This window comes from Homo sapiens, chromosome 14 (genome assembly GCF_000001405.40).
Source record: "Homo sapiens chromosome 14, GRCh38.p14 Primary Assembly".
In the NCBI taxonomy this organism is placed as follows: Eukaryota; Metazoa; Chordata; class Mammalia; order Primates; family Hominidae; genus Homo; species Homo sapiens.
In genome coordinates, this window is record NC_000014.9 from 64376852 (window position 1) to 64394365 (window position 17514).

A 17514-nucleotide genomic window follows, 5' to 3' on the forward strand; every position below is an offset into this window, starting at 1 on the left:
GCAAGATAGTGAGACACATCTTTACAAAAAAACAAAGAAAAAAAAATAGCTGGGCATGGTGGCAAGCACCTGTGGTCCCAGCTACTCAGGAAGCTGAGGCAGGAGAATCACTTGAGGCTAAGAGATCAAGGCTGCAGAGATCCGTGATTGTGCCACTGGATTTCTTTTTTTAGGATCAGAGAATGGAAAAAAAAGCGGGGGGGCATTTAGAAACTGTGCAATGGAGGGGTTGCATGTAAGTGCGGTGTGTTTCTGCTGGGTGGTGTCTCCCAAAAAATCAAACAGGCCCAAAATGAGAGGAATTTTCATACGAAGAGGAAAAAATCAGGATTATGTGATTTGAGGAATGTAGAACAGGAGGCATAGGGCTTGACTTTCTTTTACTAATCCTGAAATCTGTTTTCAAATTCTTCTAATTCATTCTAGGTGTATTGGTATTGCAGGCAGCTATTAAAGTATAAATATCTCTAGGCTGGACGTGGTGGCTCATGCCTGTAATCTCAGCGCTTTAGGAGGCTGAGGTGGACAGATCTCTTGAGCCCAGGAGTTTGAGACCAGCCTGGGCAACATGGCGAAATCTCATCTTTATACACGAAAAAGCACAAAAATTAGCCAGGCATGGTGGCATGCACCTGTAGTCCCAGCTGCTCGGGATGCTGAGGTGGGAGGATTGCTTGGGCCCCTGAGTTCAAGGCTGCAGGGAACCATAATGGAGCCACTACACTCCAGCCTGGGTGACAGAGCGAGACCTTGTCTCAAATAAAATAAAATAAGAATAAAAAAAAAAATCTATAATGAGACTAGTCTCTTTTCTCATTTTCATTACTTGATACCTAAGAAAATTACTCTATTAATTCTTTTTCCAAGACCTAAAGAAGAAAATCAAAGAACTTAAATTTTAGTAGACGAAAATGAAGAATGAACTGTTTCTCAGTCCTAGAACAAGAATGATACTGGAGACAAAGTTCTTTATTTTTCAAGATGGAGTTTTTTGCTCTTGGCACCCAGGCTGGAGTGGAATGATGTGATCTCGGCTCACTGCAACCTCCGCCTCCTGGGTTCAAGCGATTCTCCTGCCTCAGCCTCCCGAGTAGCTGGGATTATAGGCACCCGCCAGCATGCCCAGCTAATTTTTGTATTTTTAGAGAGACAGGGTTTTGCCATGTTGGCCAGGCTGGTCTCAAACTCCTGACCTCAGGTGATCCACCCACCTCGGCCTCCCAAAGTGCTGGGATTACAGGCATGAGCCACCACGCCTGGCCTGACAAAGTTCTTAAGAATTTCATCCTTTACTTTTATTTCTATTTCTTTACCATTTTATGAAACTTGTGCTGTATTGACTTTACTTAATGAGTTTCACTCACACTGTCTCTAAGAAACAAGCTACTAGGGAGGCTGAGGCAGGAGAATCGCTTGAACCCAGGAGGTGGAGGTTGCAGTGAGCCGAGATCGCGCCACTGCACTCTAGCCTGGGCAACAGAGCAAAACTCTGCCTCAAAAAAAAAAAAAGAAAAAGAAAAAAAAGAAAAAAGAAACAAGCTACCGTGTGGGACAAAATATAAACCAAGAAGGATGAACATATAAATCCTCCAGTATAAGTTCAAGTACCATCTCCTCCAGGGAGTTTTCTTGATTCCTAAAAGGTAAGGGTAATCTCTTCTCTTATAGTATGTGATTTTCTTTTGACTGTTGTCTCATTCAATATTATACTATGTAAAAATCTCATCTCCTCTACTACATTAAATGTATCTAGGCCAGGGCAGTGGTTCATGCCTGCAATCCTAGTACTTCAGGAGGCTGGGGTGGGAGGATCACTTGAGACCAGGAGTTTGAGATCAGTCTGGCCAACCAAGTGAGATCCTGTCTCTATGAAAATTTTAATAATTAGCCAGAGGTGGTGGTGTGCACCTGTAATCTCAGTTACTTGGGAGGCTGAGGTGGAGGATGGCTTGAGCCAGGAGTTAGTCTGTAGTAAGCTATGATTGTGCCACCAGCCTGGGTGACAGAGTAAGACCCTGTCTCCAAACAAACAAACAAATAAAGGTACCTAAAAACAGGAGCTATTTCTGTTATCTTTATCATCCCATACCAGGCACAAAAAATATGGATCGTAAAATGAAAGAACCAAACAGGGGAAAAACCTTAATGAAAAACCTTAATGCAAAGTTAACTAATATAGATGATGATAGTGCTATTCTCCCAAACTAACCTTATAAAGATACAATAAAAATGTATTAGGAATCTAAAGTAAAAATAAAATATAGCACCGTTACATGATTATTCTGTGATTTTAGGTTTGTACATGACTACTTTATTTTTTACACACTCAAAAGATGTAGTATGCTATGCTGCATTTAGTAAGAAGTGAAAAGTATAAATTTTTACCACATCAGACTCTGGAGAAAATTCCAAATACAAGGCCAGTTTCCAGAAGAGACCTGAATTGTCCAACATGAGTAGCTGCTCTGAGCAATTTGCCTGTAGAATGTTTGCATATCAAAGAAGCTGTTGCTAGGTGAACACATCACAGAGGTACAAAGAAAAAGGACCTTCTAAAGTGTTACAGTAAAACCTGTAGCTCTGGCTGGGCGCAGTGGCTCACGCCTGTAATCCCAGCACTTTGGGAGGCCAAGGCGGGTGGATCACAAGGTCAAGAGATTGAGACCATCCTGGCCAATATGGTGAAACCCTGTCTCTATTAAAAGTATAAAAATTAGCTGGGCGTGGTGGCAGGCGCCTGTAGTCCCAGCTACTCAGGAGGCTGAGGCAGGAGAATCGCTTGAACCCGGGAGGCGGAGGTTGCAGTGAGCTGAGATCACGCCATTGCACTCCAGCCTGGGAGACAGAGCAAGACACCATCTCAAAACAACAACAACAACAACAAAAACATGTAGCTCTTTCTCCAATTAATGAAGTGAAAACACAAATGATTTTCATCAAGCATTAGTACTTTAAGTAATCTTAAGAAAGTGATCCCACCAAAAGTGAACAGTCCAGTAAACGTGAAAATCATATTTTGGGCTTCTTTTGTGAAATTCTTGGCTAGGTCAAATATTGTACTCCAATACATACATCTCATCAAGGTAGAAGTACTTCGAAAGAAGGGGAAATGATGTTTCCATTTACTATTCCTAAAGCATTAGATGTGTTAAAAAACTGGGATTCTGGCCAGGCGCGGTGGCTCACGCCTGTAATCCCAACACTTTGGAAGGCTGAGGCGGGCGGATCACGAAGTCAGGAGCTCGAGACTAACCTGACCAACATAGTGAAACCCTGTCTCTACTAAAAATACAAAAATTAGCCAGGCGTGGTGGTGCACGCCTGTAATCCCAGCTACTCAGGGGGCTGAGGCAGGAGAATTGCTTGAACCTGGGAGGTGGAGGTTGCAGTGAGCCGAGATCATGCCATTGCACTCCAGCTTGGGCAACAGAGCAAGACTTCATCTCAAAAATAAATAAATAAATAAAGGCCGAGTGCAGTGGCTCATGCTTGTAATTCCAGCACTTTGGGAGAATGAGCTGGGTGGATCACCTGACGTCAGGAGTTCGAGACCAGCTTGGCCAACATGGTAAAACCCAGTCTCTACTAAAAATACAAAAATTAGCTGGGCATGGTGGCAGGTGCCTGTAATCCCAGCTATTCGGGAGGCTGAGGCAGGAGGATTGCTTGAACTCAGGAGGCAGAGGTTGCAATGAGCCGAGATCATGGCATTGCACTCCAGCCTGGGCGACAGGAGTGAAACTCTGTCTCAAAAACAAACAAACAAACAAACAAACAAAACAAAAAAAACCCCTGCGATTCTAATTCTAGGAAATTCTTTTTTTTTTTTTTTTTTTTTCTGAGACAGAGTTTTGATCTGTCACCCAGGCTGGAGTGCAGTGCTGCAATATCGGCTCACTGCAACCTCTGCCTCCCGGGTTCAAAGGATTCTCCTGCCTCAGCCTCTTGAGTAGCTGGGACTACAGGCACGTGCCACCATGCCTGGCTAATTTTTTCTATTTTTAGTAGAGACTGGGTTTCACCATGTTGGCCAGACTGGTCTTGAACTCCTGGCCTCAAGTGATCCGCCGCCTCCGTCTCCCAAAGTGCTAGGATTACAGGCGTGAGCCACTGCGCCTGGCCTTAGGAAAATATTTTTACAGCAGAAAAAGTATGTCCCAAATTTGTATTTTTGATACCAGAATCACCAGGAATTTTATTCAAACATCATCTTATCTTCAAAGAATAATGAACCTTGAACCCACCCAAGTTCTGACTTAGTTGGTCAAGGGTGGAACCTAGACATAAATATATTTTTTAAAGCTATACAAGTTGGTCTAATGTGAATTTACTGCTAAATTCACTATAATTGAAGACAGTGCCCACTGTCTACAATTATGTATGATAAAAATTAAGTGGGGAGAAACAAGTTATGTTCATAGGAATGAGAGTAATAGATAATAACTAAACAAAGAGAAGAAGAAATAGGCCGGGCGCAGTGGCTCACACCTGTAATCCCAGCACTTTGGGAGGCCGAGGTGGGCAGATCACAAGGTCAGGAGTTCGAGACCAGCCTGGCCAACATAGTGAAACCCCATCTGCACTAAAAATACAAAAATTAGCAGGGCATGGTGGCTCACGCCTATAGTTCCAACTACTCGGGAGGCTGAGGCAGGAGAATTGCTTGAACCCGGGAGGCTGAGGTTGCGGTGAGCCAAGATTGTGCCACTGTACTCCAGCCTGGGCAATAGAGTGAGAATCCATCTAATAAAAAAAAAAAAAGAAATACTCTGTTTTTCCTCTAAAACAAGATTTTTAAAAATATGTTTCTGGCCTGGCGTGGTGGCTCACGCCTGTAATCCCAGCATTTGAGAGACTGAGGCAGGTGGATCACCTGAGGTCAGGAGTTTATAATTATAATATATAAAAATATATATATAATGTATGTAATATATACATATAAACATATATATGTTTCCAAGCTGCAGGTATTTAAGTATAAACAGACAGGAAATCTCTTATAAAGCTTAAATTCTGGCAGGGCACAGTGACTCATGCTTGTAATCCCAGCACTTTGTGAGGCCGAGGCAGGCAGACTACCTGAGGTCAAGAGCTCGAGACCAGCCTGACCAACATGGAGAAACTCTGTCTCTACTAAAAATACAAAATTAGCCAGGCATGGTGGCACGTGCCTGTAATTCCAACTACTCTGGAGGCTGAGGCAGGAGAATTGCTTGAACCCGGGGGGCAGAGGTTGTGGTGAGCCGAGATCACGCCATTGCACTCCAGTCTGGGCAACAAGAGTGAAACTCCATCTCTCTATATATAATTTAAAATATATCTATTATATATATTAAACATATATATATGTTTCGAAGCTGCAGGTATATAAGTATGAACAAGACAGGAAATCTCTTATAAAGTTTAAATTCTGGCTGGGTGCTGTGGCTCACGCCTGTAATCCCAACACTTTGGGAGGCCAAGGCTGACGGATCTCCTGAGGTCAGGAGTTTGAGACCAGCTTGACCAACATGGTGAAACCCTGCTGTACTAAAAATGCAAAAATTAGCTGGGCATGGTGGCACATGCCTGTAATCCCAGCTACTTGGGAGGCTGAGGCAGGAGGATTGATTGAACCCAGGAGGCAGAGGTTGCAGTGAGCTGAGATCGCACCACTGCACTCCAGTCTGGGCAACAGAGCAAGACTCCATCTCAAAACAAACAAACAAACAAACAAAAAAAGCTTAAAAATTAAATTCTGGTGTAAAAGACAGGTAGCAAACAAAAATATAAAGAAATAAAGTCATTTTAGATGGTAGTAAGTGCTATGAATAAAACAGGTTAATGAGATAGTAATGGGGATGTAGATGGAGAGGTAACTTTTGATAGTGTAATCAAAGAAGGCCTTTTTTTGGATATAGCAACATAATATTATACATTTTATTAACCTGTCTTTATCATTTAAAAATGTATAAAAGCTGGTCACGCGTGGTGGGTGATGCCTGTAATCCCAACACTTTTGGAGGTGGGTGGATCACCTGAGGTCAGGAGTTTGAGACAAGCCTCGCCAATATGGCGAAACCCTGTCTCTACTAAACATACAAAAATTACCTGGGCGTGGTGGCGGGCGCCTGTATTCCCAGCTTACTCAGGAGGCTGAGGCAGGAGAATCACTTGAACCTGAGAAGCGGAGCCTAGATCTCACCATTGCATTCCAGCCTGGGTGACAAGAACGAAATTCCATCTCAAAAAAAAAAGTATGAAAGCTATCTTACATGTCTATACATATGTATCTGCTGTTCCTTTAACAACTGCATCCATCCTGACAGAAATTTTGTTTTTTGCTATTGAAATCAGTGTTGTGATTAACAGTTTTACACATGGTTTTTTTGTTTTGTTTAGTTTTAGTTTTTGTTTTTTTGAGATGGAGTTTCGCTTTTGTTGCTCAGGCTGGAGTGCAATGGTGTAATCTTGGCTCACTGCAACCTTCGTCTCCTGGGTTTAAGCTATCCTCCTGCCTCAGCCTCCCGAGTAGCTGGGATTACAGGGGCTGGCCACCACGCCCAGCTAATTTTTGTATTTTTAGTAGAGATGGGGTTTCGCCATGTTAGCCAGGTTGGTCTTGAACTCCTGACCTCAGTTGATCCACCAGCCTCGGCCTTCCAAAGTGCTGGGATTACAGGCGTGAACCACTGCACCCAGCCTATACATCTTTCTTTATATGTAAATATTACTTTAAGATAAATTCCTAAACTGGGAGAGGTGGCTCACGCCTGTAATCCCAACGTTTTGGAAGGTCAAGGTGGGAGGATGGTTTGAGGCCAGGAGCTGGAGACCAGTCTGGGCAACATAGCAAGACTATCTCTACAGGAAAATTTTTTAATTAATCAGGGGTGGTGGCATGTGCCTATAGTCCCAACTACTCAGAAGGATCACTTTAGCCCAGGAGTTCAGGGTTGCAGTGAGCTGATTGTGTTACTGCACTCCAGCCTGGGTGACAGAGTAAAATCCTGTCCAAAAAAAAAAAATCCTGGAAGTGGAATTACAATGTCAAAGAAAATACAAATTTAAAATTTTCGGGCCAGGTATGGTGGTTCACACCTGTACCAATCCCAGCACTTTGGGAGGCCAAGGAAGGCAGATCACGAGGTCAAGATTGAGACCATCCTGGCCAACATGGTGAAACCCCGTCTCTACTAAAAATACAAAAATTAGCTGGGTGTGGTGGCGCCCACCTGTAGTCCCAGCTACTTGGGAGGCTGAGGCAGAAGAATTGCTTGAACCTGGGAGGCGGAGGTTTCAGTGAGCCGAGATCATGCCACTGCACTCCAGCCTGGTGACAGAGCGACTCAAAAAAAAAAACATTTTTTTTCCCGTAGATATTATCATATCAAATTACCCCTGAAAAAGGTTGTAAAAACGGGGCCTCTGCAAAAAGTAAACATTTTTTCTAGCAACTGCCTTTATAAGCATTTAAATAAAAATATTTTTTCCTTCTATTTGCTGTGAAAGGTTGATTTTCATTCTTTATTTGACCAATTTGCAACACTTGACAGAATTAATTACCTCTTTTTCCATGAAACACATTCTTCACTTGTCTTGTTTTTTTTTTTGTTTGTTTACTTGTTTGTTTTTGAGACAGAGTCTCACTCTGTTGCTCAGGCTGGAGTGCAGTGGCACTATCTCGGCTCACTGCAAACTCTGCCCCCTGAGTTCAAGCAGTTCTCCTGCCTCAGCCTCCCTAGTAGCTGGGATTACAGGCACGCGCTACCACACCTGGCTAATTTTTGTATTTTTATAGAGACGGAGGTTTCGCCATGTTTGTCAGGCTGGTCTAGAACTCCTGACCTCAAGTGATCCACCCACCTTGGCCTCCCAAAGTGCTGGGATTACAGGCATGAGACACCATGCCAGGCCTCCTCACTTGTATTCTAAGGTGGGATGCTCTTGGGGTTTTCCTTAGAACACACTGGACTCTCCTTTCCTTTTAAGAGACAGGGTCTTGCTCTGTTGCCTAGGTTGGAGTGCAGTGTGATGATTATAGCTTACTGAAGTTTCCAACTCCTAGGCTCACAGGATCCTCCCACCTCAGCCTTCTGAGTAACTGGGACTACAGGTACATGCCACCACGCCCAGCTAACTTTTTAAATTTTTATTTATTTATTTATTTTGAGATGGAGTCTCGCTCTGTCTCCCAGGCTGGAGTGCAGTGGCGTGATCTCGGCTCACTGCAACCTCTGCCTCCTAGGTTCAAGGGATTCTCCTGCCTCGGCCTCCCGAGTAGCTGGGATTACAGGTGCCAGCCATCACGCCCAGCTAATTTTTGTATTTTTAGTAGAGACGGGGTTTCACTGTGTTGGCCAAGTTGGTCTCAAACTCCTGACCTCAGCTGATCCACCCACCTCGGCCTCCAAAATGCTCGGATTACAGGCAAATTTTTTAATTTTTATTTTTGTAGAGACAGGGTCTTGCTATGTTGCTAAGGCTGTTCTACAAACTCCTGGATTCAAGTGATCTTCCTGTATTTGGTCTCCCAAAGTGCTGGGATTAGTAAAGGTGTAGCCACAGCTCCCAGCTGGACTCTCCTTTTCAATCTTCCCTCTTGGTTCCTCCTGTCTCCTTGCATTCTGAACACTGAAAGGTTCTAGGTGTCAGTCTTTGGTCCTCTCTCTACCTACAATACCCTTGGTTGGATCTCATTCAATCCCATGGATTTAAATATCTTCTCTCCATTTGGATGTCTAAGAGAAATCTAAAAATGTCTAAAGCCGAATTCATAATCTTAACCCCAAAACCTAGTCCTACATTTTACTTTATTTCAACTCAGCGAATGGCAATTCCATCTTTCCAGTTGCTCAGAGCAAATCCCTGCTTTCTTTCTTTTACATTCCAAGTTCCTCTCTTCATTAAGGTTTCTGCTGAAGTCAGATGCCCAAAGAAATCTCTTACCACATTTCTGAGACAAAACTTTCCCACCTCCCAGCATCACTGCCTATCCTCTTAGCTTGCCTATTTTTAAAATATAGCATGTCATAATCTCTAAAATTAGCCTATGTATTTCTTTAACTTGATCGTTGTCTCCTCCACCAGAATATGAGCTGAGAGCAGAAACTTTGCTGGTTCACTAGGGTATCTCTAGCATCTATAGCAGTGCTGTTGGCATAGTGGCCACTCAATAATTATTTGCTCCATGAATGAACGATTTATGCAACTCATACATAGATAACTGTCAAAAACCAGGCTGTTGAGATGGCAAAGGCAGTAGATTTAGAGAAGAAACATCAGGTTTGGGGCCTATACCAGCCACAGCTATGCAGCTTTGGGTATTATCCTTCAAAGTCTATCCCTCTGTAAAACGGGATTTCTGCCATCTTCCTCAACAAATAAGAAAGCTGGAATAGTCAATACCTATTTGATAGTATAAGACAAAAGATTCACTATCTGCAATTTACCAGAAACATTTCCTTCAATTTTCTTCTTAATTTCACTTGTTTAGGTACAACACAATATGAGACAATGTGTTTTAGGGTTATTATTATAATGACATTATATTACTAAGTCTGTGCCTTTAACATATCACTTGTGCAAACTTTAAGAATAGTAACTTTAAGGCCACGCACGGTGGCTCATGCCCATTATCCCAGCATTTTGGGAGGCCAAGGGAGACTAATCCCTTGAGATCTAGACCAGTCTGGTCAACATAGTGAAACCCCAACTCTACCAAAAATAGAAAAATTAGCCGGCGTGGTGGCATGCACCTGTGGTCCAAGCTACTCGGGGGGCTGAGGTGGGAGGATCATTTGAACCCGGGAGGCAGAGGCTACAAAGAGCGGAGATCATGCCACTGCACTCCACCCTGAGCGACATAGCGAGACTCCGTCTCAAAAACAAAAAAACATATATTAGAAATAATTACCAGAAATAGAAAATCACAAGAGATTATCTAATCCCGTATATGGGGCTACTATAAATAACCTCAGAATTTAGAAATAAGAAAAAAATATTAAAAGCCCCAAAATTAATAAAAAATCAGTTTTAGGCCAGGTGCGGTGGCTCACGCCTGTAATCCCAGCACTCTGGGAGGCCGAGGCGGGTGGATCACGAGGTCAGGAGTTCAAGACCAGCCTAGCCAAGATGGTGAAACCCCGTCTCTACTAAAAATACAAAAATTAGCCGGGCGTGGTGGCGGGCTAATTAGGTGGTGCCTGTAATCCCAGCTACTCGGGAGGCTGAGGCAGAGAACTGCTTGAACCCGGGAAGCGGAGGTTGCAGTGAGCCAAAATCGTGCCACTGCACTCCAGCCTGGGCGACAGAATGAGACTCCGTCTCAAACAAACAAACAAAAAAAGTTTTAGATGAGCTCTGCCAGTAGTAAACGGCTTGTAAAAGAAACCCGGTATCTGGTCAAGTCCTAAGTGACCTGAACCACGCATCTTCAGGACTCTACTGGGATGACTGTAACCTGAACGCGGTTCCTAGAGCAGAGCAAGCATATTCCTTGGACTCAGTAACACAAGGGGCCAGTCCTCTCCAGCATCCCAGCTGCCACCGCCCTGTCAGGCTCCCCAGGCAATTGTCCATCTTACTCCTTCTCCAGCGTGGACGCTTAAGGGGAGGGAGCATCCCTCCTCGAGGGTCAACTGGCATGTAGCTTACGAAGACCGCGTGAGTTCTCCAACCCCAGACTTGCTGCGGGGCGGGGACGTGGGGGTGACAAAATCCAGACTACGACCCTCCATGAGCCCTGGCAACCCCGGGGTGACCCCAACACCGATGAGGCCACGCGCGCTCCAGCTCTGACACTCCTTCCAGATCGGCGGGGCCTGAAACAGCGGGCTAAGCTTCACCTACGGCTGAGCGTCAGATTCAGCTGAGGAGATTCTAAAAGCGCTATGCTGGGCCCAGACCCAGGCCCTCCAGAGCAGAACGCGGAGGGGCCCGACCCCAGTCTGGTGGCGTAGGTGTGTGACAAAGTATGAGGGCGCGCCAAGCTCTCCAGTTCCACATCTGCTGTCGAGTCCAGCGCCTGCCACGCTCCCGTGCGGGGACCCGCCCAAAACTCCCTGGAAGCCAGGCGATTCAGACCCCGCCACCGCGTCCCCAGAGACTGGGCGGAAACCGGAGACTCGCCTCCCGAACCCGCGAAACTATCTCCCGCGAGACTGCCCCGCCCCAACCCCGCCCCGCAACTCTACTCCCTGATTGGCTGGAATTACGGCCGGATTCCGGAGTCCTTTCCAGCTCCCTCTTCGGCCGGGTTTCCCGCCGAATACAAAGGCGCACTGTGAACTGGCTCTTTCTTTCCGCCAATCATTTCCGCCAGCCATTCATCACCGATTTTCTTCATCTTCCCCTCCCTCTTCCGTCCCGCAGTCCCCGACCTGTTAGCTCTCGGTTAGTTAAGGGACTCGGGTCCTTCCGAACTGCGCATGCGCCACCGCGTCTGCAGGGGGAGAAGCGGGCAGGGGCGCAGGCGCAGTAGTGTGATCCCCTGGCCAGTCCCTAAGCACGTGGGTTGGGTTGTCCTGCTTGGCTGCGGAGGGAGTGGAACCTCGATATTGGTGGTGTCCATCGTGGGCAGCGGACTAATAAAGGCCATGGCGCCAGCAGAAATCCTGAACGGGAAGGAGATCTCCGCGTAAGCACCTGACATTGTTGTTGAGTGTGGGGCTGTGGACGAGGGCTCTGAGGGTGTGCAGGTCCCCCGGACCCATTTTTTGCGGGAGGGACACTTGTAGCGGAAGAGTTAGGCCCATAACACCTGAAGACCTGCAGCCAAAGAAAGAGAACCCGGGCACAACCTGCGTTTGCAAGTGGACTGCCTAGTGGCTGTAGCCGCTGGCTCCTGTGCTTCGGGGAAAAGTCCTGTGCCGACTATGCTCCCAAACGCGCAGCTGCTGGTGACTTTCTGCCGGGAGAGTGGGTAGTTGCGGCTTCCTGGAGCCCCCCTAGTCAGAACTCAGAAATCCAATCTACTTAATTCCCGTTAATTTGGAGGTGAGTAGATGGAGACTAGTGAGGTGACAAGGCTTGACAAGACTACAAGGCTGATAATGACAGAGGGTCCTTCCAGCTCATAGCTTTTCCCACTATACCATAGTCTTATCATACGCTAAGTGAAATCTAATACATTTTTCCTTTCTCTTCAATCTCGTGCTTCTCTCTAACAGCCATCTCTCTGCCCTGGTCCTAGAGTTACTTGAAACGTAATTTGGCTCCTGAGTCCTGAGAATATTCTGCATTCCACTTGACCTCTGCCTGTTCTACCCTTGCGGGACATCTGAATGCTTAATTAGTGGGTATCGTTGCCAGCTTTACTCCCAGGAAGTAACACTGGCTGCTTTTTGTCTGGGAGGTGACTGGTGAGGAAAAATGAGAGTAGAAGGAAGAGGGAAAAATATATTCCCTCTAGTAGATGAAGGAGGGAAAGATATATTCTGTGTGACCTTACTGAGTTTGCTCTTGGGACCTTTCACATCACCCGTTATGTAAGTAACTGTTGCCAGCCACAGCAGTTACTAAATTGTAATTGTCCTGTAACTCCTAACTTTGTAATAGGTTTTTGAGTGAATTACAAAGTCATCGGTGGTGAAAAGTCCGGGCCCAGTGGCTCATGCCTGTAATCCCAGCACTTTGGGAGGCCGAGGTGGGTGGATCACCTGAGGTCTGGAGTTCAAGACCAGCCTATCCAAAATGGTGAAACCCCATCTCTACTAAAAATACAAAAAATTAGCCGAGTGTGGTGGCAGGCATCTGTAATCCCAGCTACTTGGGAGGCTGAGGCAGGAGAATCACTTGAACCTGGGGGGCAGAGGTTGCAGTGAGCTGAGATGCGCCATTGCACTCCAGCCTGGGCAACAAGAGCGAAACTCCGTCTAAGAAAAAAAAAAAAAGAAATCACAATACTTACTGCTTAGTGCTTTTCAACATGTGGCTTGCTAAACTGTATTTCTGCTTTACTTTCTGTTTTTGTTTGCTTGTATTCAAACTTACTTCCTTTTCCAGTGGCTTTTTGTTTTAATATAAAAATCTTCCTTTTAGAAAGACTGATTGTGAAGAGATAATTTAGTGCATAATAATAGTGCAGATAATTTAGTACAATAATAATGCATCTGGGCCAGTACTGAGAATAGGTGCTCACTGAATATACTTTCGTTAATTGGAGAGCAAATTAAATATGTTTATCAACTCCATAAGGGCAAATACATGTATTGTCTTATTTTTGTCTATATCCTAAACACCTGGAAACCCTGTTTCCTGCCTTACTACTTGTGTGGTTTTAAGCAAATTAATTAACCTTTCTGTGCCAAAGTTTCCTCAAATGTTAAGTAAAAGTAATGTCTAGGTCATTGGGATGTTAGTAGAATTAAATGGGTTCCTAACAGATGATCATTTATAATTCTTCCTGGCACATAATAAGTATTCGATATATGTTGTATTAATAATCAGTAATTAGTTAATGTATATATGAATGATTCATTATCTTTTTTTTTTTTTACATGGTAGCTGCTGCCTTGAGATCTATTTTTTTTTTTGAGATGAAGTCTTGCTGTGTCCAATCTTGGCTCACTGCAACCTCTGCCTCCTGCATACAAGCAATTCTCTCATATCAGCCTCCTGAGTACCTGGGATTACAGGTGCCCGCCATCACGCCTAGCTAATTTTTTTTTTTGAGATGGAGTTTCACTCGTCGCCCAGACTGGAGTACAATGGCGTGATCTCGGCTCACTGCAACCTCTGCCTCCTGGGTTCAAGCGATTCTCCTGCCTCAGCCTCCCAAGTAGCTGGGATTACAGGCGTCCGCCACCATGTCCAGCTAGTTTGTTTGTTTGTTTGAGACAGAGTTTCACTCTTGTTGCCCAGGCTGGAGTGCAATGGCATGATCTTGGCTCACTGCAACCTCCACCTCCCAGGTTCAAGCGATTCTCCTGCCTCAGCCTCCCGAGTAGCTGAGACTACAGGTGTGTGCCACCCCGTCCGGCTAATTTTTGTATTTTTAGTAGAGACGGGCTTTCACCATGTTGGTCAGGCTGGTCTGTAACTCCTGACCCCATGTGATCCACCCACCTCGGCCTCCCAAAGTGCTGGGATTACAGGCATGAGCCACTGCACCGGTCCTAGAATTTCTTAAAAATCCAGCCCACTTCCCACATTCCATCCTGCGGATTAGGAAATCATTTGAGGCCAGAAAAGTGATGTGATTTGTCCAAGGGTGAATGGCAATGGCTCAACTAAAACTAAGGTCTTCACCCAGTATATGATGTTTTTCATTCTAACCAGCACTTACTACTTGCTAAAAGGAATTTCGTAAGCTTTTCTTTTTCTTTTCTTTCTTTCTTTCTTTTTATTTTTCAGACAAGGTCTTGCTCTGTTGCTCAGGCTGGAGTGCAATGGCACGATGTTGTCTCACTGTAACCTCCACTTCCTGGGTTCAAACGATTCTCCTGCCTCAGCCTCCCAGGTAGCTGGGACTACGGGCATGCACTACTATGCCCGGCTAATTTTTGAATTTTTAGTAGAGATGGGGTTTCGCCATGTTGGTCAAGCTGGTCTTGAACTCCTGACCTCAAGTGATCTGTCCACCTCCACCTCCTAAAGTGCTAGGATTACAGGTGTGAGCCACTGCGCCCCCGCTGGCGCTTTGCTTTTTCTTTACAGTCTTCCTCTCATTAGCATGTTTCCCACCCTGCTGAGAATGCTATCCCTGACTCGTCCTCTTCTATTATTATTCTCCTTTTATGCCTTCCTGGGAGCTCGGACATCAACAAAGTTCAGCATTCCAGATTCCTTCTCTACCTGCTCTACTCTGTGGGAAACTGGGTACTTACATGATGGATTTAGTTGCCAAATTATCTTTCTTTGGAAGTAACAGCCCCTTTTCTCCCTCACGGGGAATTCTAAGTTTGCAGCCTGAATTTGACAACCGGGGGAAGGTCTGAGAGTTAGAGACAAGTATCTGTTCTTTGTGGGTATTTATTCACTTACTCAACAAGTAGCTGTATGTGTCCCCTAAGCCAGGCAATCTTCAAAGCTCTGAGAGTCTAATAGTGAACAAAACAGCCCAAATCCCTACCCTCATGAAACTTGCATACTGATGGGTAGAGACAGACATTTAAATAGGTGAAACACATTGTGAGCTGGTGGGAAGCACAAAGAGAACACCAGAGCAGAAAAGAGGGACAGGAGTTTCTGTGGTATGGTGGCTGCAATTTTAAATATGGGAGTCATAGTCTTTGTAAAAGTGACTTACGGGCAAAGACTTGAAGGAGGTGGAGCCTTAAGCCTGCCAATGTTGTGAGGGAAATAGCTCCTGACCAAAAACACAGCCTGTGCCATAGACCTTTGTCCTCACCAGTTACTAACTTACTGCTTTGGGGGGTCAATGGCAATGGCCCTGTGAGAAGCTGACCGAGTGGAGGCTCCTGAGTAGAGGAACCTGACCCTGCCCTGGGCAGAAGGGTGGTGTCTTTTAAAAGATTATGCAAAGTGGGAGAAGGATGTGCATTAGTGTTGGAAGACCCACCTTGCTTTGTAGGCAAGAAAGCATAGTTGTTCTATAAGTGGGCCTTTCAAAGGGGGGCTTACTACATTTATATGATTTGTTTGGTTTTTCCTTCCCTTAGTTTGCTATAATTAAGCCTGCTCTCTCCATTGGTGGCATTTTTCTTGATTAAGTCTCCTTTCTAAAGAGACTGGTTGTGAAGAGGCAGATGGTTTGAGTAGGTGCTGCGAGTGTTTGCTGGCCAAGTGCAGGGCAAGTTGGGTATATTTGTAAGCTCGCTGTGGATGGTAGCTCCAGAGCCTAAGCACGGTGCTGCCTCCTCTGTGCATCACTGGGTCATGCAATTTACCTCTGTGCCTTAGCTTCTGTATATTGGGGTAGTAATGTCACCTAACTCATAAGGTTGTTAGAATTAAATGAGTTTAATACCTATAAAGCATTTAGAGAAGTTGTTGGTACATGGTAAGTTTTAATAAATAGGTACTTAGAAAGTACTCATTGAATAAAAAAGTGATGTTTGTGTTTATCCAGGCTGTACCTTTGGGAGCTGGCTTATAATCTTGAGACTTAAAATTAGAATTTATCCTAGTGATCAAAGATAAAAGTTTGGAACCTTGGCTGTACATTTAGCTACAGGGCTAGAAGAACTGTTTTTGTGAAAATAATTTGCTTACCATAGTGAAGGGCAGGTCTTCTTGGTTACTAAGTTAACATGGATAAGACTTTTACTTTGTCCTGTAGATTAAATACATGTAGGCCCTTTTGTGCTTAAAAAGATTTGTCTGGGCAGGGCGTGGTGGCTCATGCCTGTAATCCTAGGACTTTGGGAGGCCCAGGCAGGAGGATCACCTGAGATCAGGAGTTGGAGACCAGCCTGACTAACATGGTGAAACCCCATCTCTACTAAAAATACAAAATTAGCTGGGCATGGTGGCCCATGCCTGTAATCCCAGCTACTCCAGAGGCTGAGACAGGAGAATGGCTTGAACCTGGGAGGAGGAGGTTGCAGTGAGCCAGTGAGCCAAGATGGCGCCATTGCACTCCAGCCTGGGCAACAAGAGCAAAACTTCATCTCAGAAAGAAAAAAAAAAAAAATTTGCCTGTAATGAACTCCAAAGTGCAGGTTGCTCAAAAGTTACATGGAAACTTGACTGTCATAGCTGGATTGATTCTGGAAGCCTGTGCAGGAGAGGTCGGAGTTCCAGAGAGGCTGGGACCTTCAGCTAGGACCCCAGCCAGGCTGTTGGGCAGGTTGCAGCGATAGTGCAGCAGAGCCCAGAGCTGGCAGCCAACTACTATGGTCATGGCACCTGATTGGGGATGTGGTTTGCAAATAAGTGTCTGTCCTTGTCCATCAGGGGAGTTGGGATCAGGCAGTTTGGGATTTGGGTAGTGGGGTTTTGAGCAGAGGTCTGTGGTTCCCTGTTACATCCCCTATTTGCATGAAGAATCTTCTAGAAGGAAAGCTGGCCTAGTACAGAGGAGGGTCCTTGGAGTGGAAGCAAATGGCTCCCTTCTCCTCTAATTGACTCAGTAGAGGTTGGTAGAATAGAGGTTAAGGGGCAGGGATGCTTGTGTGGCCTTGGAAAAGTTAGCTTCACTTTCCTTTCTGTGCAGTAGGGATGATGAGAACTGTCTACTTCCTGACGTTGCCCCAAGGATTAAAAGAATGTAAGACTCTCAAAACAAGCTTCTTTGACGTCCCATCCACAGTGCAGAAGGCCCCCATTACCCCTGCACTGTGCGGTTGGCTCTCCTTTGCACCCCTTAATTGACCAAAAAGCAGCTTCTGTCACCCTGTAAATCCTTGACCTTGAAGAAGTGGGTGGCTAAAGGTGCCACAGTCAAGATTCCTCAGCCACTCGGCTACTACCCTTACCCTCAATTTTGCAGTTTATGACACTTTAGCCAGAAGCTAAGTGACTTGCCCAGGTGTTCCAAGGTAGGTGGCAGAGGCTCGATGGTGCATTTCTTTCCCTACCATGGGCTTGTCATTGGCTTGCTAGAAGGAATTGCAAACTTCTACCCTCCAG

At 45.3% G+C, this 17514-nt stretch overlaps 1 protein-coding gene across 2 annotated transcripts in view, besides 6 other annotated features; it reads left to right on the plus strand.

Annotated features, from left to right (window-relative positions):
* Positions 10565-10664: an enhancer, noted in NCBI's record as "active region_8529". NCBI's record gives its function as "activates an Ori minimal core promoter by ATAC-STARR-seq in GM12878 lymphoblastoid cells {active_cell/tissue: GM12878}" and the evidence as "EXISTENCE:reporter gene assay evidence [ECO:0000049][PMID:35858748]".
* Positions 10685-10744: an enhancer, noted in NCBI's record as "active region_8530". NCBI's record gives its function as "activates an Ori minimal core promoter by ATAC-STARR-seq in GM12878 lymphoblastoid cells {active_cell/tissue: GM12878}" and the evidence as "EXISTENCE:reporter gene assay evidence [ECO:0000049][PMID:35858748]".
* Positions 11265-11354: an enhancer, noted in NCBI's record as "active region_8531". NCBI's record gives its function as "activates an Ori minimal core promoter by ATAC-STARR-seq in GM12878 lymphoblastoid cells {active_cell/tissue: GM12878}" and the evidence as "EXISTENCE:reporter gene assay evidence [ECO:0000049][PMID:35858748]".
* MTHFD1 (methylenetetrahydrofolate dehydrogenase, cyclohydrolase and formyltetrahydrofolate synthetase 1) overlaps positions 11502-17514 on the plus strand; it is a 71673-nt gene continuing 65660 nt past the window's right edge. For both annotated transcript variants that reach the window (NM_005956.4, NM_001364837.1), the window contains exon 1: positions 11502-11617. In NM_005956.4, coding sequence (NP_005947.3) covers positions 11577-11617 — 41 coding nt within the window. In that variant the 5' untranslated portion in view covers positions 11502-11576. The remainder of the gene's footprint in view (positions 11618-17514) is intronic.
* Positions 14452-15185: an enhancer, noted in NCBI's record as "OCT4-NANOG-H3K27ac hESC enhancer chr14:64858021-64858754 (GRCh37/hg19 assembly coordinates)". NCBI's record gives its function as "activates a minimal SCP1, AML or CMV promoter by ChIP-STARR-seq in primed H9 embryonic stem cells {active_cell/tissue: H9 hESC(primed)}" and the evidence as "EXISTENCE:reporter gene assay evidence [ECO:0000049][PMID:30033119]".
* Positions 15186-15919: an enhancer, noted in NCBI's record as "H3K27ac hESC enhancer chr14:64858755-64859488 (GRCh37/hg19 assembly coordinates)". NCBI's record gives its function as "activates a minimal SCP1, AML or CMV promoter by ChIP-STARR-seq in naive and primed H9 embryonic stem cells {active_cell/tissue: H9 hESC(naive and primed)}" and the evidence as "EXISTENCE:reporter gene assay evidence [ECO:0000049][PMID:30033119]".
* Positions 16228-17005: an enhancer, noted in NCBI's record as "H3K4me1 hESC enhancer chr14:64859797-64860574 (GRCh37/hg19 assembly coordinates)". NCBI's record gives its function as "activates a minimal SCP1, AML or CMV promoter by ChIP-STARR-seq in primed H9 embryonic stem cells {active_cell/tissue: H9 hESC(primed)}" and the evidence as "EXISTENCE:reporter gene assay evidence [ECO:0000049][PMID:30033119]".